The sequence below is a fragment of the Homo sapiens genome, chromosome 2 (genome assembly GCF_000001405.40).
Source record: "Homo sapiens chromosome 2, GRCh38.p14 Primary Assembly".
NCBI lineage: Eukaryota > Metazoa > Chordata > Mammalia > Primates > Hominidae > Homo > Homo sapiens.
The window spans coordinates 165,847,997-165,875,164 of NC_000002.12; the positions used below are offsets into that span (position 1 = coordinate 165,847,997).

The 27,168-nt window shown below is 39.2% G+C and overlaps 1 protein-coding gene and 1 long non-coding RNA gene across 4 annotated transcripts in view, besides 2 other annotated features; both read right to left on the reverse strand.

Moving 5' to 3' along the window:
• Positions 5,899 to 6,400: an enhancer, noted in NCBI's record as "H3K27ac hESC enhancer chr2:166710405-166710906 (GRCh37/hg19 assembly coordinates)". NCBI's record gives its function as "activates a minimal SCP1, AML or CMV promoter by ChIP-STARR-seq in primed H9 embryonic stem cells {active_cell/tissue: H9 hESC(primed)}" and the evidence as "EXISTENCE:reporter gene assay evidence [ECO:0000049][PMID:30033119]".
• On the reverse strand, positions 9,479 to 23,945 carry LOC100506124 (uncharacterized). Its single transcript, NR_045375.2, has 4 exons — positions 22,801 to 23,945; positions 14,948 to 15,069; positions 10,219 to 10,408; positions 9,479 to 9,618 (listed from the first exon to the last, which is right to left on the reverse strand). It is a non-coding gene; the product is annotated as an uncharacterized LOC100506124 (long non-coding RNA).
• The window catches only part of TTC21B (tetratricopeptide repeat domain 21B), an 80,415-nt gene continuing 78,612 nt past the window's right edge, over positions 25,366 to 27,168 (reverse strand). For all 3 annotated transcript variants that reach the window (NM_024753.5, XM_047445870.1, XM_011511871.4), the window contains one exon: positions 25,366 to 26,836. In NM_024753.5, the coding sequence (NP_079029.3) occupies positions 26,759 to 26,836 (78 nt within the window). In that variant the 3' untranslated portion in view covers positions 25,366 to 26,758. The remainder of the gene's footprint in view (positions 26,837 to 27,168) is intronic.
• Positions 26,558 to 26,757: an enhancer, noted in NCBI's record as "active region_16728". NCBI's record gives its function as "activates an Ori minimal core promoter by ATAC-STARR-seq in GM12878 lymphoblastoid cells {active_cell/tissue: GM12878}" and the evidence as "EXISTENCE:reporter gene assay evidence [ECO:0000049][PMID:35858748]".

The window sequence follows — 27,168 nt, forward strand, 5'->3', positions numbered from 1 at the left end:
TGCTATCAAACATTAGAACTTATTCCTTCTACTTAACTGTATGTTTGTACCAATTTATGCCCATCCATTCCTCTACCCACCCACACACACACATTCTTGCCAATTGGTAACTATTACTTTTAACATTACTTTTAAATGGCAAAAACTGCAATTACTTTTGTACCAACCTAATATTTCACTCTGTACTTCTATGAGATCCACTTTTTTAGCTCCGACATACAAGTGAGAACATGCAATATTTGTTTTCTGTGCTTGGCTTATTTCACTTAATATGGTGACCTCCAGTTCCATCCATGTTGCTGCAAATGACCAGATTTCATTCTTTCTTAATGAAAGGTGAATAGTATTACATTGTGTGTATATACAAATTTTCTTTATCCAATCATCCAATAGTGGACACTCAGGTTGATTCTATATCTTTGCTTTTGTGAATAGTGCTGCAATAAACATGTGAGTGCAGGTATCCCTTTGATATGATTTCCTTTCTTATGGATAAATACACAGCAATGGGATTGCTGGATAGTATGATTTTTGAGAAATCTCCATGTTATTTTTCATAGTGGCTATACTAATTTACATTCCCATCAACAGTGTATAAGAGCTCCTTTTTCTCTGCATCCTCACCAACATCTGTTTTTTTTTAATTCTTATTAATAGTCCATCTAACTGGGGTAAGATGATATCTCATTGTGGTTTTGATTTGCATTTCGCTGATGATTAGAAATACTGAGCATTTTAAAAATATAACTGTTGGCCATTTGTATGTCTTCTTTAGAGAAATGTCTATTTATGTACTTTGCCCATATTTTAGTAGGATTATTAAGTTTTTTTTGGCTGTTGAACTGTTTGAGTTCCTTGCATATTCTGGATATTAGTTTCTATCAGATGAATAATTTGCAAATATTTTATCCTATTCAACAGGTTGTCTCTTCACTCTATTGATGATCTCCTTTGCTGTGCAGAAGATTTTTAGTTTAACATAGTCCCATCTCCATTCTTGTATTTGTTGCCTGCACTTTTGAGATCTTAGCCATAAAATCTATGCCTAGGCCAATATCCTGTGGTGTTTCCTCTATGTTTTCTCCTAGCAGTTTTATAGTTTTGGGTCTTATGTTTAGGACTTTAATCCATTTTGAATTGATATTTTTATATGATGAGAGATAGCTGTCTAGTTTTATTCTTCTGCATATGAAGATCCAGTTTTACCAGCACCACGTATTGGAGTGGATATCCTTTCCCCAATGTGTGTTCTTGGAGCCTTTGTTGAAAATCAGTTGGCTATAAAAATGTGGGTTTATTTCTGGGTTCTCTATTTTTTGTTTTTTTGTTTGTTTTTGTTTTTGAGACAAAGTTTTGCTCTGTCGCACAATCACGTTTCACTGCAGCCTCAACCTCCTGGGCCCAAGCAATCCTCCTGCCCCAACCTCCCAAGTAGCTGAGATTACAGAAGCAGACTACATGCCTGGCTATTTTTTTTTTTTTTTTTTAGACCTGGGGTCTTGCCATGTTGCCCAGACTGTTTTTGAGCTCCTGGCCTCAAGCAATCCTCCCACCTTGGCCTCCCAAAATGCTGGGATTACAGGTGTGAGCTACCATGCCTAACCTTGGGTTCTCTATTTGTTCCATTGGCCTGTGTCTGTTTTTGTACCAATACCATGCTGTTTTGATTACTATAGCCTTGTAATATATTTTGAAGTCAGGTAGTGTGATACGTCCAGCTTTGCTTTTTTTTCTCAGTATTGCTTTGGCCATTAGAGCTGTTTTTTTGATCTGTAACAATTTTAGAGTTGTTTTTTTCTATTCTAGTGAAAAATAACATTGATATCTTAATAGGGATTGCATTGAATCTGTAAATTGATTTGGGTTGCATGGTCATTTTAACAATATTAATTCTTCCAATCCATGAGCATGAGGTGACTTTCCATTTGTTTTGTGTCCTCTCTAATTTCTTTCACCAGTATTTTGTAGTTTTTCTTATAGAGATCTTTCACATCTTTGATTAAATTTATTCCTGGATTTAGTTTATTGTAAATGGGATTTATTGTAACTGGGATTGCCTGCTTGATTTCTTTTTCGGCTGTATCATTACTGATATGTAAAGATGCTACTGATTTTTTTTATGTTGACTTTGTATCTTGCAACTTTACTAAATTTACTTATCATATCTAACAGTTTTATGTTATCAGCAAAGAGGATCAATTTGATTTCCTCCTTTCCAATTTGGAAGCCTTTTCTTTCTTTTCTTTGCCTGATTGCTCTGGCTAAGACTTCCAGTACTATGCTGAATATGAGTGATGAAAGTGGGCATCCTTGTTTTGTTCCAGTTCTTTGAGGAAATGCTTGCAGTCTTTCCCCATTTATTATGATGTTAATTGAGGGTTTGTTATTTATAGACTTTATTATGTTCAGATATGCTTCCGGTATGCCTAGTTTGTTGAGAGTTTTTATTATGAAGGATCGTTGGACTTTATCAAATGTTTTTTCTGCATTTATTGAGGTTATCACATGGTTTTTGTCCTTCATTCTGGTGGTGTGCTGTGTCACATTTATTGATTTGCATACATTGAACCACCATTGCATCTCTGGGATAAATCCCACTTGTATTATATTTTTGAAGTGCTACTGGATTTGGTTTGCTAGTATTTTGTTGAAGATTTTTGCATTTATATTCACCATGTATAGTGATGTGTAGTTTTCTTTTTTTGTTGTGCCCTTGTCTGGTTTGTGTATCAGAGTAATGCTGGCCTTGTAAAATGAGTTGGGAAGAATTCCCTCCTCTTCAATTTCTTGGAATATTTTGATAACAATTAGTGTTAATTCTTCTGTGTAAGTTTGGTAGAATTTGGCAGTGAAGCCATCTGGTTCTGGACTTTTTTTTGTTAAGAGACTTTTTGTTACTGATTCAATCTTGTTATTTGTTATTAGTCTTCTCAGGTTTTCTATTTATTCCTGATTCATTGTTGGTAGGTTATATATGTCCAGGAATTCATCCATTTCCTCTATGTTTTTCAGTCTGTTGTATAGGTGTTCATAATAGTATCTGATGGTATTCTGTGTTCTTGTGGTATCAGCTGTAATGTTGCCTTTTTCATTTCTGATTGTGTTTATTTGCGAATTCTTTTCTTGGCTGGGTTGGTTAGCAGTTTATTCATTTTATTTATCTTTTAGAAAAATCAGCTTATCATTTTGTTGATCCTTTGTCTTACTTCTTTTGTCTTTATTTCATTTAGTTTTGCCCCTATCTTTATTATTTCTTTTCTTCTGCTGATTTCGAGTTTGGTTTGTTCTCGCTTTTCTAGTTCCCCTAAGTATATTATTGGTTTGTTAATTTGTTATTTTTTTACTTTATTGATATAGGCATTTATTGCTATAAACTTCCCTCTTAGCACTGCTTTTGCTATATCCCACAGGTTTTGGTATGTTGTGTTTCCATTTTTTGTTTCAAAAATTTCTTTTTTAATTTCCTTCTTAATTTTTTCATTCACCCAATGGTTGCTGAGAGCATATTAATTTTCATATATTTGTACAGTTTCCAAAGTTCCTCTTGTTACTGATTTCTAGTTTTATTCCACCATGGTCTAAGAAGATGCTGAGTATGATTTCAATTTTTAAGAATTTATTGGGACTTGTTTTGTAGCCTAACTTATGGTCTTTTTTGGAGAATGTCTCATGTGCTGATGAGAAGAACGTGTATCTACTGTTGTTGAATAAAATGTTCTGTTGATGTTGAATAGGTCCATTTGGTCTAAGTTGCAATTTAAATCCAATGTTTCTTTATTGATTCCTGTCTAGATCATTTGTCTAATGCTGATAATGGGGTGTTGAAGTCTAAAACTATTATTATATTGGAGTCTATCTCTGCCTTTAGGTCTAATAATATTTAATTTATATATACCAATGTTGGGTGATATATATTTAGAATTTTTAAATCTTCTTGCTGAATTGATCCCTTTATTGTGTTTTAATGACCTTTTTCTATCTATTTTTACTGTTTTTTGACTTAAATTCTGTTTTATATGATATTGATATAAGTATAGCTACTTCTGCTTGTTTTTTTGTTTTCCATTTGTATGGAATGTCTTTTTCCATCCCTTTACTTTTAGTCTATATATGTCTTTACAGGTAAAATGAGTTTCTTATAGGTAGCATATAGTTGAGTCATGTTTTAAAAAAATCTATTATATTTAGCTAGTCTATACATTTTAAGTGGAAAATTTAATTTGTTCACATTCAAGGTTATTATTGGTAAGTGTGGACTTATCCTTGTCATTTTGTTAATTATCTTCTGGTTGTTTTCTATCTTTTTCCTTTCTTTTTTCCTTTCTTTCTTTCTCTTTTGTTGTTTATCATTGTGGTTTGGTGTTTCTCTGTAGTGATAACATTTGGGTTCTTTCTCTTCCTTATTTGTGGGTTTGCTTTACCAGTGAGTTTTATACTTTCATGTGTTTTCATGATGGTAGATATCATTCTTTTGTTTCCAGGTATAGAATGCCCTTGATCATTTCTTGTAGGTCTGGTCTAGCAGTGATGAATTCCCTCAGTTTCTGCTTGTTTGGGAAAGATTTTATTTTTCTTTCATTTATGAAGGACAACTTTGCTGGGTATTGTATTCTGGGTTGACAGTTTTTTTTTTAATCACTTTGAATATATCATTCTATTGTCTCCTGACCTGTAATATTTTTGCTATATGTATTTTTAAAAATCCCCAGTTAGTCTGATAGAGGTTCCCTAATATGTGACTAAACACTTTTCTCTTGCTGTTTTTATAATGCTCTTTGGTTTTGACTTTTACCTTAATATGCCTTGGAGAATAACTTTTTTGACTTATATCTATTTAGGGATTATAAACGTCCCATATCTATATGTCTAAATCTCTTGCTAGACTTGGGAAGTTTTCAGCTATTATTTTGTTAAATAGGTTTTCTATGGATTTGGTCTCTTCACCTTCTGGAACACCCAAAATTCATGTATTTAGTTGTGTTGTGTTCTTATGTCACAGGATTTGTTCATTCTTTTTTATTCTCTTTTCTTCTTTTCAAAAAATCTGACTGGGCAATTTCAAAAGACTTGTCTTCAGGTTCTGAGATTTTTGCTTTTGTTTGATCTATTGTTGAAGCTCTTGTATGAATTTTTAAAATTTCATTCATTGAATTCTTTCTTTCCAGGACTTCTGGTTTGTTCTTTTTTATTATATCTATCTCTGGTGAATTTCTCACTCACATCCTGAATTGTTTTTCTGATTTCTTTCAATTATTTTCAGTGTTATCAATCATAGCTCACTATGAACTCAAGTTCCTACTCTCAAGCCTGCCTCAACCTGCTAAGTATTTAGGACTATAGCCTGCAGTGTGCTGCCATTCCTGGCTAACATTTTATTTTTATTTTTAGCACAGACAAGGTTTGCTATGTTGCCTGGATTGGTTTCTTGTGTTTTTACGTTGATAACTGTACCTCCGGTGTAACAGTCACTTCTTCCAATTTTTTTTTGAATTGACTTTTACAAGGGAAGGGATTTTTCCTGAAGATACATCTATGCTGTTGGTTGGGTAGGACACTAGCTTTGATTCTGGGTGCATGCAGTAGTGTAGTCTCCATATGATTTATTCAGCTGTAAACAGCATCAGCTGTGTCTGTGATTTCCTAAGTGGCTTAGGTTGTTGTTGTTAGTGGAGGCTATGGTGAGGTTTTGTTGAGGATGAGGATTACAGGTAGGCCAGTCATCAGATTCCAGTCGCGGCAGCAGTAGACCAAGCATGCCTGGCCTCGGGTTCCCAGTTGGCGTATGAAGTCACCAGTGTTAGTGGGTTGAAACAGGCCAATACTTAGGTCTACAGATGGCTGAAGTGCTGCAGTGGTAGTGGTGGGTCAGTCAGTCGAGTGGGTCCTTGGTCCCTGGATAGCATGTGTGATGTGGGTGATGGCAGTAGTAATGGCAAGACAATCCTTGGGCTCTGAAGTGACACACATTGGTGTTAGTGATATCTACAAGGAGCTGGGTATGTCAGTCCCTCATTCCCTAGGCAGTATGTGCAGTGGGTGCTGCTGTGGTGGTAGCAGCCCTAGGAGGACTGCACAGATGCCAGTGGTGGTGGACAGGGTGAGACAAGCCCTTAGACAGTGTTCTAGGGCACTGGAGTGGGGGGAGTGCCAGGCCAGGTAGGCCTGTTTCCAGGGACCCCAGGAATGTAATCAGGCCCTGGCTATGGTGGGCAGAGAGGAGTGACACTCAGGCTCCCAGTAGAGAGCTTGGGAGTCTGCTACAACAGGGGTGGTAGGCAGGGAAAGCCTGCCATTAGGGTATGTCCAAGTATGCTGCAGTCCTGCTGTTGGAGTAGAGGCAGAGTTTCTGACAGTAACTATAGCCACAGGCAGGCAGTTCTTAGGCTGTGTGGGAGGAGGGATGCTTTAATCCCCAGTGGCAGTGGCAGTGGTATATCAGCTGTAGTAGCAGCAGGGAAAACTAGTTCTCAGGAAATGTGCAAATGCGTGATGGGAGCCCTGCTGCTTGGTAGATGGAGTCGTGACCAGCTACATGTGTTTTGGCTTCTGGTGGCAGCAATAGTGGCTGTGGCTGGTGATGAGAGGGTCTGTCCTCAGAGTGTGATTGCAGTAGCCCTGCTGCTGGGGGCAGGGTCATTATATGTGGTAGCTGTCCCAGGTAGGTGGTTCTCTGGCCATAGAGAGTATGTGCTTTGGCTTTCTTTGTCCTGGGAGAGCCTCCCTAGGGTGCTGCACCACCGTTTACCTGGCATACAGGGCACTGTGTGTGCTGGAGTGCTGGGGACCCTGCCATTCTGCTGAGTCTGACTGGTGTTATTGCTGCTACGGCTCTCTGGGTGGACACAGAATGGTGTCAGTGGGGCTCCAGGGACGTGAAGGTGCAGGGGCTCTTGGGCCCCAAGGCGGGATGCAACCTCCAGTGGGTCCTAAGCTCTCAAAATGGCCCTATGGTGAATCTGCTTAGGACTTGGTGGGTGCGTTGGACCATTATGAACTCCCACTCTAGAGCAATGCCTTTGTGTCATCTCCAGGCAGGTCCCTATGCTATTCTGAGAGCCTGTGATGGGGTCTCCCATGGCTAGGGTATCAGGAGTCCATGGTGGGAATATGGAAAGGTGGGTATCTACTGCTTACCCTTTTCCTGAACTAGGGAGTCTTTATGAGCTCCCAGCTGATCCCAGCTGAGCTGACTGCCTCCCTTCCTGCTCCTTCCATGCCTCAGGTGCTTCCTGTTCCTTCTCTGTTGAATTCCAATATTCTCTCTTAGATGCTCTATTCGAAGTTTGATTATGCACTTGCTATTTTGGTTCTTGTCTGTGGAGGAGGTAAGTGTCAGATGCCTCCAGTCAGGCTTCTTGAAGTTCCTCTCACATAAGTCTTTATGTCCTTCATGACAATCTTACTATCCCAATGAGTGAATGACTATATGACAAAACAATCTTATTATATGTCGACATCACAGTATCACAGTGGATACTATGGTAGGCACCATGCCCCTATTCAAAATCAAGGCACTCATTTCCCCAGATGCCAGGAGTATTGGCTGCTAATGGCTCATAGCTAAACCCCTCTCCAAGCACTGGCCTTGGATTAAGACTATATTTCCTCCTGAAGAGAGAGTGGGGCAGCCTGTGTACAATGCAGGACCAGGACTAGGGTGAAAAACTGGCCTTGAGTGCTAAATTTAAGCAGGAGCCAAAAACTCAGTAATCAAACAATATTTTAATGTAATATTTTAAAAATAAAAAATGCAAAGGTTCTGTAATTATCAAAATATCACAATTTTAAATAAAGATATAATCAATATGACTGATTTTTCTCTTTGCTTGAGGCTCCAATATGGCTCCCCAAAACACTCTCTATTTTAAAGCATTATTTAAAAAATACTAACCAATGCAAAAGTTCACCCTGAACAAAATACTGAAATTTTTAAATAAAGGCTGACTTTTGCATTAATTTAGGTTTAAAAAATAATAATACATTAAAATATTATTTATCTTGGCTACTGAGCTTTTTGACGCCCTCTAAATTTTGTCCTCAAGGCAAGCATCTCACTCTTCTTATGTAGTCCCAATCCTGGCAGATTGACTCAGGGGAAACCAATGTCTGTCTCCTTTGCCTTAAAGGGAGGCCATGGGAGGCCATCCCATCAACACAGTCCCTTGGGGATCAGCTGAAGCCTTCCTTGTGACTTCATTGCAGTCCAATCCTGCTTTTCTCCCTCCCTTACCAGCATTATTCCTAAGAGTATCCTGCAGGTGAGTCTCTGAGTCTCTTTCCTCTAAGACCTCCCCAGAGAAGAGAGGTGAAAACTGAAGTTCACAGAAGGTGAGGAACTTGCCCAAGCTCTCAGAGCTCCTATGAGATGAAAACCCAGGTGAGACCAGGCACAGTGGCTCATGAGGGTAATCCGAGAACTGGGAGGCTGAGATGGGAGGACTGTTGGAGCCCAGGAGTTCAAGATCAGCCTGGGCAACATAGTGAGACTCTATCTCTTCAAGCAATAAAAAAATTAGCTGGGTGTGGTGGGTGCACGCCTGTAGTCCCAGCTACTTGTGGGGCTGAGGTATGGGGATCACTTGAGCCTGGGAGGTCGAGGCTGCAGTGAGCCATGATCACGCCACTGCACCCCACCCTGGGTGACAGAGCAAGACCCTGTCTAAAACAAACAAACAAACAAACAAAAAACAAATCCCAGTCAAGTTAGTATGACTTTAAAGCCAGTGCTTCTCATTATAACATTCTATAGGCTGGGGCCAGAATTTGTGGCTACAGTCTAATAAGTCAAAGGTAAAACAGAGATACCAGCAATCCCTATGCACTCTCCTAATTGAATTTCCTAATTGCAGACTAGAAATCAGGTTCTCTGATTTCTAGGAAGTGGGCCTCCGATTATATCAGACCCTGTAGTCAGCAGAATAATGCCCGCATCCCCACTGAAGATGTCCACATCCTAATCCCTAAAACCTGTGAATGTGTTAACTTACATGGCAAAAGGAACTTTGCAGATGTGATTAAGTTAGGGATCTTGAGCATATGCTGCATTATCCATGTAGGCCCAAATATAATCACAAGGGTCCTTATTAGGGAGAGAGGGAGGCAGGAAAGTTAGAGAAGGAAACATGATGACAGAAGTAGAGGTCACAGTGATGTGATCATGAGACAAAGAATGCAGGCAGGCCTTAGAAGCCAGAAAAGTCAAGGAACAGAGCCTTCCCTACAGCTTGCAGAAGGAAGGGAGCTCTGTTGCCCCTTGGTCTTAGCTCTAAGACCCATTTTGAACATCTGACCTCCAGAAGTGTAAGAAAATAAATTTGTGATGTTTGAAGCCTCAAGGTTTGTGGTAATTTTTTATAGCAGCAATAGGAAAGTAAAAGACCCCTAAAGCAGTGTTTCAGCCCTGGCATTATGGCATCACCCATGTGGCTCTGAGATGTATTGGATCCCTAACAGAAAACAGGTAGGACCACCAGAACAATTTAATGAAGACTTCTCAGTTGTATTATATTTTTAAAAATTTAAAATGAACTTGTATATGTGGAAGGATTGATGATCTGTACTGACTCCAGATGGTTATGTTCTCCTGATGACAGATGGAAGTCCAGGAGGCGGGGCCATCTACAGGAAAGCAGGAGAGAAATGATTGATATAGGAAGCCAGTACAATCCAGGAACTCTTTATACAAGCACAATTTTTACTTTTCTGATTCTCCGGTAGTATTTTTTGAATTATGGAAGGAGATGAACATTCCTATTTTTTTAATATGGAACTAGCTGTACTGTTGTTTCTCTTTCCTTGCTGTGCTAGAAGAGTCTGGAGTTTAAGCTCTTCTTGTATTTGAGCAAAAGTTAATGTTTTTAAATTCTTTTTGTTGATTAGACATTTGGGTCTGATGGATCACTAAGGTTTATTATAAAAAAGTTTGAAGTTCAAGGATATTTCTTCTTTTTTACATTAGTTGTAAGGAAAAGGACAAAATGCCTTGGAGAGAAGCCAGAACAAGAGAATTTGGAGCATCAACAAAATATGTTGAACATAAACAAGAGAGTAGAGTTTCACTCTAGGCAAGAAAGTGGTTCTCCCAGGGGGATGAACTAGAAAAAGGGAGAGGAAAGTATCATGTGTATATGAGTAGGAAGATGAAGGAAACAGGGAAGGGGGAGGTAGTTATAGTTAAGCAGATCGGATCTTAAGCAACTTTGCCAATGATATTCTTACCCCAAGTGTATGCCAGCAAGATATGGTTCTACTGCTGGTGACCTCATAGAAGCAGAGTCATCACTGGAGAAAGACATAGCTCTCATCCTGATGGGCATCTCCTGCCCCTGAGGCCTCAGTTAGCTGCACTTGCCTTCTGCATCTCCTGGGGATTTCACTCCATCAGTTAGCATCTTGTTTACTGCCTTCCCTAAAGAAGTGATATGTATTAATATTAGTCTGTTATAACATCGCTATAAAGATACCAAAGACTGGGTAATTTATAGTGAAAAGAGGTTTAATTCACTGAAAGTTCTACATGGCCAGGGGGCCTTCAAAATTTACAATAATGGTGGAAGGCAAAGGGTAAGCAAGCTACCTCCTTCACAAGGCAGCAGGAGAGACAGCAAGAAAGCAGGGGAAATGCCAGACACTTATCAAACAACCAGATATTGTGAGAACTCCCTCACTATCACAAGAACAGCCTGGGAGAAACCACCCCATGATTCAATCACCTCCCAACAGGTCCCTCCCTTGATATGTGGGGATTATAATTTGAGATGAGATTTGGGTGGGGACACAGAGCCAAACCATATCATGATGCCTATCCATTTCTTTGAATTTTGTTTGATTCCTGACTGACTTATTCTTACCTCACAATGCCCCAGGATATATGTGAGCCCAAGAAAATGGGATTAAAGTCAGAGAGACTTAGTAGCGTGGCCTAATGAAAAATCCTTGGGGCTAACTGGAGCCAAACTGATTTGATACCTTCCCAGCATCTCTCCATCTTTTACATGAGCTGGGACCATGGTTAATGGCTCTTTTTATATAATAATTTAAAAATGTGTAAATATAAGGGCCACCTAGCACATAAAGAAGGAATATAAAGGTCAAGGGTCTTGTTGTTTATCAACATGGTCTTTGAGAATTGCTTATACTCAATTTTGATGAGCCTGGCTCTTTATGGCTCCTTCTTCCGTGATTTGGAAAAGTGCAAGCCTGGGCAGCTGTCAACTCATTGATACTCTCAGCAGCACAGTTCCGACTGAACTCTTAGTTTAGTCATGGTGATATCTAGTGGTTGTACCACTAGGGTGGTACAGCCCTTGGTACTGTCCTGGTTTGGGTTGCTTGGACATTTGGAGAAATAAAACAGATGGGAGAATTATGATTTTGAACAAATAATTTACCATGTTGCAAATTTCTTTATCAGTGAAAGTCCAGTAATTTTCTACATTGTTTAACTAAAAGTTGTGGGTTTTTAAATGTAGGTGTTCAACTAAGCTAGCACTTGAGTGAATTAAAAAAAAAATTGGACTAAATACTGTGGAGGGAGAAGTGCAAAAGGATCAGATAACATGTTGTAGTGGAGCCTTCAGGCTGTCTGCCCAGCAACCTTTTTATCCATAGATGTGGGCCTGGGTAACCTGTGTCACCTGGTGGCCTCCTTCCTGGCCATATTGGTGGTGGGAGTTGGGGACTAAGAAACTACACATCATTCTCTGCATGTGGCCAAACTTACAACATGGGAGTAGTGAAACGTCTGTGAGAAGTGAGAACTAGTGTATTAGCCCATTTTCATGCTGCTAATAAAGATACCCAAGATTGGATAATTTATAAAGAAAAAGAGGTTTCATGGACTCACAGTTCCACATGGCTGGGGAGGCCTCAAAATCATGGTGGAAGCTAAGGAGGAGCAAGTCATGTCTTACATGGATGGCAGCAGGCAAACAGAGCTTGCACAGGGAAACTCCCCCTTATAAAACCATCAGATCTTGTAAGAGGTATTCACTATCATGAGAACAGCATGGAAAACACCTGCCCCCATGATTCAATTACCTCCCATGGGGTCCCTCCCACAACACGTGGGAATTCAAGATGATATTTGGGTGGGGACACAGCCAAACCATATCACTCTGCCCCTTGCCCCTCCTAAATCTCATGTCCTTACATGTCAAAACCAATCATGCCTTCCCAACAGTCCCCCAAAGTCTTAACTCATTTCAGCACTAACTCTTTTAAAAGTCTACAGTCCAAAGTCTCACCTGAGACAAGGCAAGTCCCTTCTGCCTATGAGCCTGTAAAATTGAGAGCAAGTTACTTGCTTGCTAGATACAATGGAGATACAGGCATTGGGTAAATACAGCCATTCCAAATGGGAGAAATTGGGTAAAACGAAGGAGCTACAGGCCCCATGCAAGTCCAAAATCCAGCAGGGCAGTTAAATCTTAAAGCTCCAAAATAATCTGCTTTGACTCCTTATCTCACATCCAGGTTATGCTGATGCAAGAAATGGGTTCCCATGGTCTTGGGCAGCTCTGCCAGTGTGGCTTTGCAGGGTACAGCCTCCTTTCTGGCTGCTTTCATGGGCTGGCAACGAGTGCCTGTGACTTTTTCAGGTGCACAGTGCAAGCTGTCAGTGGATCTTCCATTCTGGGGTCTGGAAGATAGAGACCCTTTTCTCACAGCTCCACTAGGCAGCACCCTAGTGGGGACTCTGTGTGGGGGCTTCTACCTCACATTTGCCTTCCACACTACCCTAGCAGAGGTTCTCCGTGAGGTTTGTCCCTGAAGCAAAACTTCTTCCTGGACATCCAGGCATTTCCATACATCCTCTGAAATCTAGGTGGAGGTTCCCAAATCCCAATTCTTGACTTCTGTGCCCTCACAGGCTCAACACCACGTGAAAGCTGCCAAGGCTTGGAGCTTGCACCCTCTGAAGCCACAACCTGAGCTCTAGCTTGGCCCCTTGTAGTCATGGCTGGAGTGGCTGGGACACAGGGCGCTAAGTCCTTAGACTGCACACAGCAGAGGGACACTGGGCCCAGCCAATGAAACCATTTTTCCCTCCTAGGCTTCCAGGCCTGTGATGGGAGGGGCTACCTTGAAGACTACTGACATTCGCTGGAGACATTTTCCCCATTGTCTTGGCAATGATTCACATTCAGCTCCTCGTTACTTATGCAAACTTCTGCAGCCAGCTTAAATTTCTCCTCAGAAAATGGAATTTTCTTCCCTATCACCTTGTCAGGCTGCAAATTTCTGAACTTTTATGCTCTGATTTCTTTATAAAACTGAATGCCTTTAACAGCACCCAAGTCACCTCTTGAATGCTTTGCTGCTTAGAAATTTCTTCCACCAGATTCCCTAAATCATCTCTCTCAAGTTCAAAGTTCCACAAATCTCTAGGGTGGGGCAAAATGCTGCCAGCCACTTTGCTAAAACATAACAAGAGTCACCTTTGCTACAGTTCCCAACAAGTTCCTCATCTCCATTTGAGACCACCTTAGCCTGGACTTTATTGTCCATATTGCTATCTGCATTTTGGGCAAAGCCATTCAACAAGTCTCTAGGGCATTCCAAACTTTCCCACATTGTTCTGGCTTCTTTTGAGCCCTCCAAACTGTTCCAACCTCTGTCTGTTACCCAGTTCCAAAGTTGCTTCCCTGTTTTCGGGTATCTTTTCAGCAGCATCCCACTCTATTGGTTCCAATTTACTGTATTAGTCTGTATTCCTGCTGCTGCTAAAGACATACCTGAGACTGGGAAGAAAAAGAGGTGATATGGTTTGGGTATGTCCCCACCCAAATCTCATCTTGAATTCCCACGTGTTGTAGGAGGAACTCAGTGGGAGGTAATTGAATCATGGGGGCATGTGCTATTTTTCTGATAGCAAATAAGTCTCATAATATCTGAGTGCTGTTCTTGTGATAGCAAATAAGTATCATAATATCTGATGGTATTATAAGGAGGAATTTCCTGCACAAGCTCTCTCTTTTTGTCTGCTGTCATCCATGTAGGATTTGACTTGCTCCTCCTTGGCTTCCACCATGATTGTGAGGCCTCCCCAGGCAAGTAGAACTGTAAGTCCCACTAAACTTCTTTTTTTTCTGTAAATTGTCCAGTCTCAGGTATATGTCTTTTATCATCAGCATGAAAATAGACTAATACAAGAGGTTTAACAAACTCATAGTTCCACATGGCTGGGGAGGCCTCATAATCATGGTGGAAGCAAAAGCTACTACTTACATGGCAGTGGCAAGAGAGAATGAGAGCCAATAAGTTTCACAAGATCTACTGGAGAAGACCAGGTCTGCCCGATATGAGGGCTTTCCCTCTGCCTGGCACAGTGCCTGGCATAGAATAGGTCTTCAGTGAATATCTGGATGGATAGTTGAGTGAACAGCAACATGCAGAAAGTATCAGAGGAAAGGCATAGAGTCCTGCCCACATTCCAGTCCCTGGTTCCAGTTCCTTCCCACCTTTCAGCTCCAGTGCCAACTTGAAGAGTTACATATAACTCAGGCCATCCTAAGTTGGTTTCTGCTACTTGCAAATTGTAGAGCAATCACTGATAATAATGGTCTCTAGCTTGGGGGAACTTGGAGTATACTTTTAGACAACCTGAAAAAAAATTATGTATTTGTGTAACTGATTCCTTCCTCTTTACATGTGTGTATTTATATATGAATGTGTGTGTAGGTACATGTATATAATTATATGATATTATTTTTGGATATATACATATGTATATAAAAATGCATATATAAAAATGAATTGGGCAATTTAATCAATGTTCCTGAGCTCCCTTTTTACCTCTAAAATGAAAGGATGAGATTCAATGATCTAAAATTTTAAAAGTACACGCTTTCCAGGAATTATGTAATTGCTTTGTTAGAAAGTCACCAGAAGGTATACTGTTGCTAGAAAAGAATGCCCAGGGAAGGCACTTTGGGAATTCACGTACATGCTATGTTTTGTCATTGCTGGAAATAGTTTGGCAGCGCCTCCAGGAAGTACATTCACAGGTATTCACATATTCTCCATGGAGGCAGATGTCCAGTCTAATGACTGTGATGACTGAGGGTGCTGGTAATGACAGTTCAGACAGAAAAGCAAAATTTAGTTAAGAAACAGCAGTAAGAGTTTTCACTGTGAACTGGCCATGAAGACAGACCCACAAGGAGTATCATTCACTGTCACTATGGATAGAACATTGGTGAGGATGACATACCAAACCTTTCTGAAGCATCAGAAAGGTAGATAACCTGCAGTTGCAGTCCCCAAACTTGGCTGCCCTCTTTTTGGCTGGGACCTCAGTACTCTTCTCACATCAAGCATGGGCATGTACCAGGTGTTCAATTAGTACTGAGTGGTCAGTTAAGCCAAACTGATTATAACAGTCATCAGTGTTTGAATCAGGTGCTTTATGTATATTTTCTTACTTCACACAGTTAACAATACTCTTTTTAGTTTCTTTGTAAAAATTAGGAAAGTGAGACCTAGACACCTTATGGAACTTGCCCCAAATCACACTGTTAAATGGCACAGGAGGTCAACCCAGGTTGTTTGACTCCAAAGCCCATGTGCTATCCTACCTCTCTCTTCTCAGCCATAATTAGAGGCAAATGAGAATAGCACAAAGCATTTTTCCTTATATGTATTTTAACTTACAACAACCCTCCATAAACTATTATCCATTGGAACCACAATATTCTTGTGAATAACATCATCTGCCTGGAAAATAAGGTAATAGGATTATAAATCTTTCAAAAAAATGTACCTAAGTATTTTCACAATGTGGAAAATACATGTGGTACTCTGTATTTTCAGAGACATCTGAAAGGGCAGTGCATCTTCTCTGCACTGTTCGCATGCTCTCTTAGCTGTTCGTGTGGGTTTCACTGGCATGCATCATTGCTCCCCCTTCTCCTGTATGCCTAAGGTAGGGCACTTCTGCCACCCACTGAAGTTTGGTTCTAAAAAGGTAACAGCTTAAAGGGAATAGCAGAGGGGTTAGTTATTTTTTTCAAATGAGTGTGGAGAAAAAGCAACCGAGCAGGCTCTTCCCAGATGCCTGTTTCTAGTCAGCAGGCTGCTTGAATCCCCTGGTTGAACACATTTCAGTCATCCTGTGCCTAAGGAGAAAAACACCACTCCTGGCTCTCGTCGCTATGGCAACTGATGCTCAGCAGGCAGTTGCAGTTTCATTTAACAAAACTGGCTTTTAGAACTTGAGGGGAAACTATGCTTTCATAGAAGAGAAAAGGGAAGATGAGTGGTTTAATTAATGTGTCTCAATTTAACATGAAGATACAGGTCACTTCCACTGTTTGACCATACAGCATCTAGCTCCGCTTTATATCTGTATCAGATCTAAAGCTTAAAAGGATGGGATATTTCTCTCATCATATGTGAAGTGTACAGTGGGCAGAGGAGGAGAAGCAGGGGTTGTGTTAGACCCTTTGCGAAAGGTTTTTCACTTTATAAAAATCATCTCGGCTTGAGAGTGTATAGAAGAATTGCTTTCTCTTCTCTCATCCACAAAGGAGGCCTGAGAGATGGGTTGCTAGGCAACCTCACACCGAAGACAGGGGCGCTGTGGAATTAACATAGCTGACCTCCCCATCAGCTCTGCAGCTCTGCTATTCAAAACGATTTTATGAGACTGTAGGACTCAAGAAAATAGAAATAAAATATAAATACAAAAATAAAGAATAGAGGATATAAATCTAACTTTTTCAAGTGAAGATTCAATGAGAAAGGGTAGCAGTTGGAAACGGCGGGTTGAGGGGAAAAAACAGTATTAGTTGCTATAAACCAGAAACTTGTATTTTGAATAATATAGGAAGAAAATTTTCCTATTTCTTTAGAAATGTTTATGGCTGACAGTTAACCTATCACAGTAAAAGTGCTGAAAATACTTGAGGTCAAACAGAAAAATCAGTTTATAATAATGTAGATCTACAACATACTTTTAACAAAAAGCTCAACTCTCAATCCTTACCATGTGATGGTCTGTTTAAGCTCCAGAGTCCCTTACTCTCCTTCCTGCCACTATATCATCGATATGGTTGGCGTGGGAAGGGATGGCATTTATTCTGCAAGTAGATGAATATTTGGAAGGAAATTGCAAAGCTGATCCATGAAACAGAGCACACACTCTTATCAGCAATAAATAATTTAGGTGTTTTTTTTTTTTTTTTTTTTTTTTTTAAGACAAGTTTTGCTCTTGTCGCCCAGGCTGGAGAGCAATGGCGCGATCTTGGCTCATTGCAACCTCCACCTCCCGGATTCAAGCAATGATTCTCCTGCCTCAGCCTCCTGAGTAGCTGGGATTACAGGTGCCCACCATCACACCAAGCTAATTTTTGTATTTTTAGTAGAGATGGGGTTTTGCCATGTTGGCCAGTCTGCTCTCAAACTCCTGACCTCAGATGATCCACCTGCCTCGGCCTCCCAAAGTGCTGGGATTACAGGTGTGAACCATTGTGCCTGGCCTAGTTTGATTTTTAAAATACGTCATACTACTGGAAAATGGTTCTGGTAACATTTTAGGATAGTTTGTTGAATTTATCAACAATAAATTAAAAATCGACCAAAGTTGGTGGCATTGTGGGAGGTGGGAGACTGAAAACAAATTCTGAACTGGTTTTTGTAGATTTTGTAGACTTGTTTTTGTTATAAACGTTTGGGTGAAGCAATTCTGAAACCATTTTAGGTAGATTATAAGGTTGAAGAAATGGACAAATAGGTTGAAGTTGTTAGGATCCAGGACCACACTCTGGAAAAGGGTCATACAAATAAGAACTAGATGTCAGTGTATGTGAGACTGTGTGTATGTACAGTATTCGTGCAAACACCTGTATGTCTATATGTGTGTCTATGAGTATATGTCTGTATATGCATATGTATGTAGGCATGCATATGTTTTCCATCTTCTGAAAGGATCTAGAAGCAATTACACCCTAGTAGCAACGAGCAGACTTAGCACTTGGATCCTCATCTCTAACACCATTCCCAATAAAAGGAACCAGGGCTCCTCAGAGAAATGTGTGATTCCAAGGTTGAAGCAGGGAAATGAGAAGTTGAGCCTCAGACACCTTGTTATGATAGAAAGTAAGAAAGTGCTCAAAAAAAAGAAAAATGAACAATGAGAGCATGTCACAAGGACACAGGAACCAGCCTGAAGAGGCTTCTGCTGGACAAATCTGAAATAATTTGAGCACCAAAATAATTAAAGACATTAATGAATGATGAAATATTGAAAAATAGAATTTCACAAGACTGTATGATGTTAAATATTTTTAACAACAAAAAGCTCAAATCTGAATCCTCGCCATGTGCTAGTTTGTTTAAGCTCCAGAGTCCCCTACTCTCCTTCTATATTAAACAATGGATAAAATTATTTTATCCAGGAGGAAAAAAAATAAAGCTCAACTCTCAGTCCTCACTATGTGATAGTTTGTTTAAGCTCCAGAGTCCCCTACTCTCCTATATTAAATAATGGATAAAAATGAAAAGCAAAAACAATAAATAAGCAAAGGCGGGGCTCCTGCTTATGGTAAAACGCTAAGTACTAACTGCTGGGTACATGTGGAGCCTTTATTACCCTCACAGTAAAGATGGGACTAGGCAAGAATCATGATCAATCCAGTGGAAAGTTTTGAAGAGGAGCACGATATTTGATCTACGAGTGTCTCCTCACAGATTGCTTATTAGTTGCAAGAAAAAATATAACTATGTAGTGGAGAAATTTGAAGGAGTAATCAAAATTAATTCACAAGTGAGGGCAGATAAATATGTGTGCTTCCATATTTGATACCCTGAGGACATACTACTTATATAGCATTATGGCCAGGGATGTTTAGCTCAAATTGAATCATGATGAAATATCAGACAAACCCTAAATGAAGAACATTCTACTACAAAAAAAAGAGGGTGAGGGACATTTTCTTCAAAAAATGTCTATATTGTAAAAGAGAGAAAGGCTGTGGATATGCTCCAGATTAAGCAACAATAAAGAGACAAGACAAGTAAATACGATATCTGATTCCAGAGTGGATCCTGACTGGAGGAAAAAAAGGACTTCATTGGATCAATTGATGGTAAATGATGTGGATTAAAGTATGGAATCCATGTTAAATTTACTGAAGTTGATAACTACAGTTTGATTATATAGGAGTGTATCCATGTTCTTAGGAAATACAGACCACTGAAGTACTTAGGGGTACAGGGATGTGTACGATGCTTGTGACTTTCAGAATCTTCAGAAAAAAAATCATATGTATATATGTGTGTATACATACGTGTCAGTGTAAATGTATACATAAAATTCGTATACTCACACAGAAAGCACAAATGATAAAGCAAATGGTTTAAAATATTAGGAATATTTTAATGTTTACCTTAATATATATGGTATTTGCAATATTATTTATGCAACTTTCTGTACATTTAATTTTTTTCCAAATAAAAAATTAAAAAGTTGTTTCCTTTTTGTAGAAACAAAATCATTCTTATTGAAACTTGAATAATGAATATTGGGCATTTTAAAAAATCTACAAAAACAACCACCCAGCACATACATTTTATAAAAGGCAGTAGATTCATGTGTTTAACACAAGTAAGTGACATCAGGATCTAGACATGTCGTTTGTCCCGTTTCCTCACCTTGACTCTTCACATGGTACGTATTCAATCATTTTAACTTTGCCCTTGCGATTTCTCAATATCCTGCACTTGCACCCACCCAGAGTCCCCCTCAATCTATCCTCTGCAATTTGTAACTTAAGTCAATGTGAAAAATTGGACAAAAAAATTCTTCAGGAAACTATGTAAGGGAGGAGTTTTTATGTATTTACTAGAGCAACTTCACATATTAAACTTAAACTGTATGAAAAGAGCATTTTTGTAACTGCTTAGCGTTTTAGTGCATTCTTTTTCCTCAAAGTTCTTAAGCTTACTGTGTTTTTCAAAGAAAGTTTAATCTGTAACTGTGAAAAAGGACCTATTGCCCTGACCCGAAATAAGTGAGGATACTACTGAACATTTTGCAGCTTTGTCCTCTGTGTTTCATGTGGTTTTTTAAGGTTCTTACATCATTTACCCATTAAAAATAAAACTAGGCTGCTTTTGGTGAAAATGGAAATAGTAATTACCTTCTTAAAATACCCCCTTAAAAAAAAAACAGGATTTCTTTTACATTGCCAAAAGAATTTGTTTGAAGGAAGATAAATGTAACATACATACTATTTGAAAGCAGCCTGGTTTAAGGGTTGCCATCGAGTCTCATGTTATACCACTCGGAAGTAAGACATTTAGAACCTGCTCATTACTCCGCATCCCTCATTTATGGGATCAGATTGCTTTTATGGGCATTGTGCCAGATTCATTGATGTGCACTTAAGGCAGATTGCAGAGTGAAACGTTTTTCTAGAAAACATCTGGTTCTTAAGAGGAGCATTAGAAGGAGGGTAGCACATTTTTGATCATAACTGGGATTTATCATGTTACAGTAACTCCCCTCTAATCTGGCAGGCAGAATTCCAACAACCACAACCAGGAACCTGGAAATAAGTGAAAAATACCTCAGAGTCCAAAGAAAACAGAGGTCCAAGATCCTGTGCATATGAAGGAGTGGTATTGCCCTTAGCTCAAAGACTATTTTATTCATTATAAAACTACTGGAGCCAATTAGCATAAGGGCTCCTGAAGCCGCCTTTATATCAAGTGAGTCTTTCTGCAGTTCATTCGTTCCTTCACTCCCCTTGCAAAAATTGTGCACCCCCTGGATGCCACCATTTTTCTACTCAGGTTTTCCCCTCCTCTCTTTCTTGTACCTTCAATATTTACTGGCTTTTTTTTTTCTCCATAGATGCCCAAGTAGCTCTTACCTTAAAAGACAGACTTCTCACACCCTTATGGACACATCACTCTTCACCCTCAGCCTTATTTCTAAAAACTTTTCTATACTGACTCTAGTTCCTCTCCTTCCATTCGCAGGGCTTCCAATAGCCTATGAGAAAGTTGTATTCAAATTAGAAAAGGGAGTCCTCCTGCATGGAGATGCAGTTGCAGAGTGGTAAGACTTGGAGGATTTCTGCCTCCATCTCCTGTGCCCTTGGCTGGGTCACTCTGTGCAGTGCACACACTGCACGACCACACGTGGAGGCTCTGCAGGATTTCAGATATTTCCACTGGTTTTTAATTTATTATATTTGGTAGAATCATCATTAAAACTCTGTTAATGGAATAATGGACTAAAATTACAGAGGACTGGGTTTGCTCTCAATCCTTTATGTAATTGCAGGACTATGCTCTTACACATCCCCTCTGGAACTCTTACGTTCTAGTACCACTTCTGTTACCACTCCTACTACTACTTTCTGGCTTTTATTTCCATCTTTCACTTCCTGAATCTCTATCGCTGGCCATCGAAGTAATATAGATTGCATTTTGCATTAACAATTAATAGTAAAGTGTGGTATTGAGAGTTGAAATGTCAGCTTTTGTTTAGCTTCTTCTCTTCGTCTGTGTTCAGAAAAATAACTTTAAACAGCAAAAAGCAAGTTTGAGAAGGCTATTCTCTAAAAAACAACAAAAAACTTTTTTTATTGTAGAATATATGTTAATTCCAGTTAACTTTTACAATGGTAAATAAATATTTCATCACTCAGATATAACTATGTTAACAACTGGGTTTCATCTAGTTTTGTGTATTCTTATATGCATCTATAGTTTTGGCAAATGGATATATTATTATTTGAACAGTTACATTTTCCTCTTTATTCACTTATTTTGTGAGCATTTTAGCAGTTAAAATCTTTCAAAAATTTTTTTTTTCTTTTTTTTTTTTTTTTTTAGACGGAATCTCACTGTTGCCCAGGCTGGAGTGCAGTGGCGTGATCTCGGTTCACTGCAACCTCCACCTGCCAGGTTCAAGCAATTCTCCTGCCTCAGCCTCCCGAGTAGCTGGCACTACAGGTGCACACCACCATGTCCAGCTAATTTTTTGTATTTTAGTAGAGACGAGGATCCCCGTGTTGCCCAGGCTGGTTGCGAACTCCTGAGCTCAGGCAATCTGCCTGCCTCGGCCTCCCAAAGTGTTGGGATTATAGGCATGAGCCAAAAAAATTAAATACATAAATAAATCCTTGAAATAGTTTTCAATTACTACCTACTACTATATTATTGGTCAAATCTTACATATGTGACAACCTCATGTTGGATGTTTTGATAACCAAAAGCAGCAAAAAATTCAGTTACAATTTTTAAAATTGGAAACCTTTGAGAAATTTCGGAATATTTCCTGTGATAAATTTCTCTACGTGGGATCACTTGGTTAAACGAGAGACTCTTATTTTGTGCTGTTTTTAGAGAACAGCCTTCTCGAACTTGCTTTTTGCTGTTTATAAGTTATTCCCTTCAGGAAGGCTGTGCTACACTTCGATGAGCAGCGGTCTGAATGCGGTGGTTTCCTTGCACCTTTGCCAACCTTGCTTCTAAAAAAATCTGTCAGCATGAACGCTGTTGTATGATCCTATTTTAAAGCTATTCACTTGTCATCTCCAGTCGCAAACTAGGATAGCTCCTGTCAGATTCTTAATTGGTCTTTTGGTTTCCATAGTGATTCCATTATCTACTTCTACTCTAGTGCAAAGTTCAACTTGCTTCCTCAGCTGTCCATGCATAAAAGCCTTCCAGATTTGCTCTAGGTTCTTGACTTCTGGGGAAGAAAGATATTTCCTCTTGGACCCAGTTCACCATACTAGCTGAATTAAGGTCAAAAGTACATTAAACTTACAACTGTGTCCTTACCATGACGGGGGGCAGGTGTCCAGATCCCAGATCTACAGAAAATTCTTTCATTTCTGTTGTGTCCCCCTGCTTCCATCCTGAGTGTACGTCCCCAAACTTTCATTTAACATGTCATGTTCATTAGTTCCTTCAAATACTAGTTCAGAGCAGTCTGGAATCAAGACTGCCTAGTTTGAGCTCCAACTGTCACAGATCTTGGGCTTGTCACATAAGGCAATCAAATCCTTAAAGAAGAAAAAACATCAGAGGTAGTAAATGCTGCATAGAGTTTAAAAAGGATAATATGATACAGAATCACAGGATGGCTACTTGAGATTGTGGGCCTGGACATGAACACGGCCTCTTTGAGGAGGTGGTGATAAAGTGATACCTGATGGAAAGGAGCAAACCTGGAGAAGGAAGCTCAGAGACAGGAAGCGGGGGTGAAGGGAGGGACAGGAGGAAGAGAATTCTCCACTGAGGAGAGTAGGGCAAAAGCAAGCTCCAGGTGGATAAAATGAGATGCTGCATGTGGAGTCTAGCATAATGGTTGGTGGGTAGAGAGAGAGGAAAAGAGGGAAGTAGTTGAACAAAAATTAGAAGGGAAGGAAGGAGGGAAGGTGTGAATGAATGAGAATCTCAAATCCTGTAGGGCTGAGCTCTCTAGGGGACTTTACTCATCCTTTTAATCTTGCTTTGAACTGCATTTTCTCTTCTCAGTTGCAATTACTACTTTGCCCTGTTCTGCTTATAAGAGGAGCTACTATTAAGAGCCTAGTGAGTCAGATTCATTATAGGTTTTATATAAGTTCCCTTTAATCCTTACAACCTGAGGCAGGTTATTATCCTTATATGCTTGTTTATGGGTGAGAAAACTGAGGCTGAGAGTGTGTAACTTGGAGAAAGATGAAACATCTAGGTAATGGTAGAGCCAAAACTTAAATCCAGGCTGGTCTGATTTCAGATCCATGCTCTTGACTGCTACACTATAGTGCTCCTCAATTAGACTGCTCTTTAATAGTTTCTACATTTGTAACAGCTGTTCATTCCACTCAGTCCATCTTGTTCTTCATTATTTAGCTATCTCTGTGATACACCAGTTTCTTCTGCTAGCCAGATGTAGAAAAGATCACTTCTTCTTACAGAAACATTATCTCTTAGTTATAGAAGGCATCTTAATATAATAAATAAGGCAGAGGCTTTGAAGTTGACTGGGCCAGTATGGAATTCAGGTTCTGACACTTTTCTCTGTGACCCTGGGCAAATCATTTAGTCCAGGTCTCACCTTTCTTATCTGAAAAGTGGGAATATTATTTCTCTTAATAGCTGACTGAAAATTAAAAGACATAAAGTAAGGAAAGTCCCTAAAATAGCATCTAACAAATGGCAGGTGCAAAATAAATGGCTGCTTAAGAAACAAAAACAAAACCTTCCTCTCCTCTTACAGATAGGAAAACTGATTTGGAAATGTCTTGCTGAGAGAACAGATGCTCTATTTCTCTATCCAATTTCCATGATTCCAGCATCCCATGACACAAGTTCACTGGAACTACTAAAGGCATTCTGTTAATGTGATTTCTGCCTGAGTCAGCTCCGGCTGCAATAATAAAATATCATAAACTGGTGGGCTTATCAACAAAAGAAATCTGTTTCTCACAGTTCTGGAGGCTGGAAGTCTGAGATCACGGTTCCAGCACCACCAGGTTCTGGTGAGGACCCTCTTTTGGGTTGCAAATAGTTGACTTCTTATTTTGTCCTCACATGGTAGAAAGATAGCTAGAGAACTCTCTGGGATCCTCTTTTTAAGGGCACTAATCGCACTCGCAAGGGCTTCAGCCTTATGACCTAATTATTTCCTAAAGCTTCACTTCCCAATACTATCACATTAAAGACTAGGATGTCAACATACGAAGTTTGGGGTACACAAACATTCAGTCCATAGCATTGTCCTTAAAAATGTCCACTCAGGCTGAAAGATATTTCTCCACCTGAATTAAAGAAAAAGAGGTAATGTTTCACGATTCCAGATTTGTAAAACAGGGATAATAATGCCGGCATTTTAGGTTTGTGAAGATCAAATGTAAGGAATATGAAAGTATTTTAACATATATGAAGTGACTTATAAATTCTATTATTAAACATTCTATGAAATGCCATAAATAAAAGCTAGGTGACAAGGCGGCCAGATTACTTGAGGCCAGAAGTTCGAGACCAGCCTAGCCAACATGGCGAAACCCCATCTCTACTGCAGATACAAAAATTAGCCAGGCGTGGTGGCGTGTGCCTTTAGTCCCAGCTACTCAAGAAGCTGACGCAGGAGAATTGCTTGAACCCAGGAGGTAGAGGTTGCAGTGGGCCAAGATCGCACCACTGCACTCCAGCCTGGGCTACAGAGTAAGACTCTGTCTCAAAGAACAACAACAACAAAAAACCCCACAAAAAACTGTTTTGCTAAGTGAAAAGAAGAATAATTGGAATTTTATAACGTAATTGAAATTAAAGGGATTTTGAAAAATGGGAGAAATGATCAGAAACAAGAGAATGGAGTTCAAAACAAACACAGGACATTTAATAAAAAGCAGCAAATGACTTATAAATACTGTTTATTGTAAATGCAAATAAAATTGAGGACTGTGTTTACTACAATTTTAAGGAAAATTGAAAAAGATGTAGATGAGAAATTAAAAATAATGCTAAGGATTAAGTTTAGATTAGGTTAAATTTAGTGTAAGAGAGTGAAAGCTTCTATGCCAGGGTGCTGTTAAACAGAGCTGGGTAAACCGTTGCCTTCACATGGTGTGCTTTGTGACTCCCTGCTGACCAAAAGTATTTGGTCACCCTTTACCATCAAATGTTACAGTGTCTGAAATTATACCTGCAGACCAAGTCTTCTAGGCTAAGGTTAAATATCCCTAATAAGGGACCTATTTAAATTGAGGTTTCAGGACCTGATTATTTCTTAAGACCACAATGGCCTTGAAAGCAGGAAGAATGAGCTCAAGAAAGGAAAGGGAAACACACACTCTACCCTTTTCTAAAAAAGATTTTTCAATGAAAGTTACATTTTCTGTACTATACCACCACCCATTAACATTACAGAATGCAGGGGGAGCTTACCCTGATTTGCAAAACTTACCACATCTTTTGAGTTCCAAGAGGAATATAAATCATCTATTTATAAAACCTTTATTAAAATATATATTTAAAATATATATATTGTCTTTTTCATGAGTTATTTACAGGGAGATTTATTCCAATTTTTGAAACAACACAGAATACAACAAAAACAGGCTGGGTGCGGTGGCTCATGCCTGTAATCCCAGCACTTTGGGAGGCCGAGGCAGGTGGATCACAAGGTCAAGAGATCAAGCCCCTCCTGGCTAACACGGTGAAATCCCATCTCTACTAAAAATACAAAAAATTAGCCGGGTGTGATGGCACATGCCTTTAGTCCCAGCTACTCGGGAGGCTGAAGCAGGAGAATCGCGTAAACCCAGGAGGCGGAGGTTGCAGTGAGCCAAGATCGTGCCACTGCACTCCAGCCTGGGCGGCAGATCAAGGCTCTGTCTTTAAAAATAAATAAATAAATAAAAGAATATAACAAAAACACTTTAAAAGAGAACAATGCATTTTAAATATATTTCCTGAAATAATATTCCTTAGAAAAGATACAGGGTATTTAATTACCTAGATTTTAACAAAATATTCTTTATAGAAATAATTATAGTCTTTACCACAGAGTCACCAAATCTGTACCCAATCAAAACAGAGTCAAATAGACCAGCTCTCATTCAACTCCATTAGGAAACACCAATTTCACATAGTACTTCTCTTGATGTACAGCAGCAACCTCTGCTGGAGAAAAAAGGGTATACTTCTAATAACAAAGCACTGAGCTCAAACCTGTTTTGAACAGGAAGAACTGAAAGTTAGATTTCTTTCATTTCCTGTTAAACCAACACCTAAGTTAAAATTATTTTCAAGGTCTTAAAGACGCACGGGCCTTATCAAGTATATCCTTTCTGATTTTTGGATAAGTTGGATGTGCTTCAAGAACCTGCAAAACAAATAAAGAACCCATAAAAACTTGTAACTAATAATCAAAAACTACGGAGTTACAAAACTTATAAGAAATGAGCATTACAGTTAAGATTTCCTTGTACTAATACTACAACAGCTATAACACTTTTTAATGGTGGCATTTTAAATGTAACATGATGACTCCTTTATATTAATGGTAGTTAGATGAGAACAATAGAATGTAAATATCAAATGCAGAAAATATAACAAACAACTGCTTACCTAATAGATGAATTGTATAAAACAATTATGTATCAATGATTTAAAATATTTTTGTAATTTAGCTTTTCATTCATAATATCTGATAAA